The sequence below is a fragment of the Homo sapiens genome, chromosome 1 (genome assembly GCF_000001405.40).
Source record: "Homo sapiens chromosome 1, GRCh38.p14 Primary Assembly".
Taxonomy (NCBI): Eukaryota; Metazoa; Chordata; class Mammalia; order Primates; family Hominidae; genus Homo; species Homo sapiens.
Genome location: NC_000001.11, coordinates 227,393,232 through 227,393,553, shown reverse-complemented (window position 1 = coordinate 227,393,553; position 322 = coordinate 227,393,232).

Sequence of the window (322 nt, the reverse complement as noted above, 5' to 3'; positions counted from 1 at the left end):
TATGACCTCATCTGAACTTAGCTAATTGCATCTGCAATGACCCCGTTGCCAAATAAAGTCACATTCTGAAGTACTGGAGATTGAAACTTAAACCTATCTTTGGGCAGGGGGCACAATTTGACCCATAACAGAAGGAGGCATCAGTAAAAATAAGGGCAGAAAAGGCTGAAATAGAAACCAAAGTCATAAAATAGAGTAAATAAATACAAATGAAAGTTAGTTTTAAGAAAAAAATCCGGTTTGATTACCCAATCTTTAATAAGACTGATAAAGAAACAAAAGAGCACAAATAAACTATATTAGGAATCATAAAGAGATACAA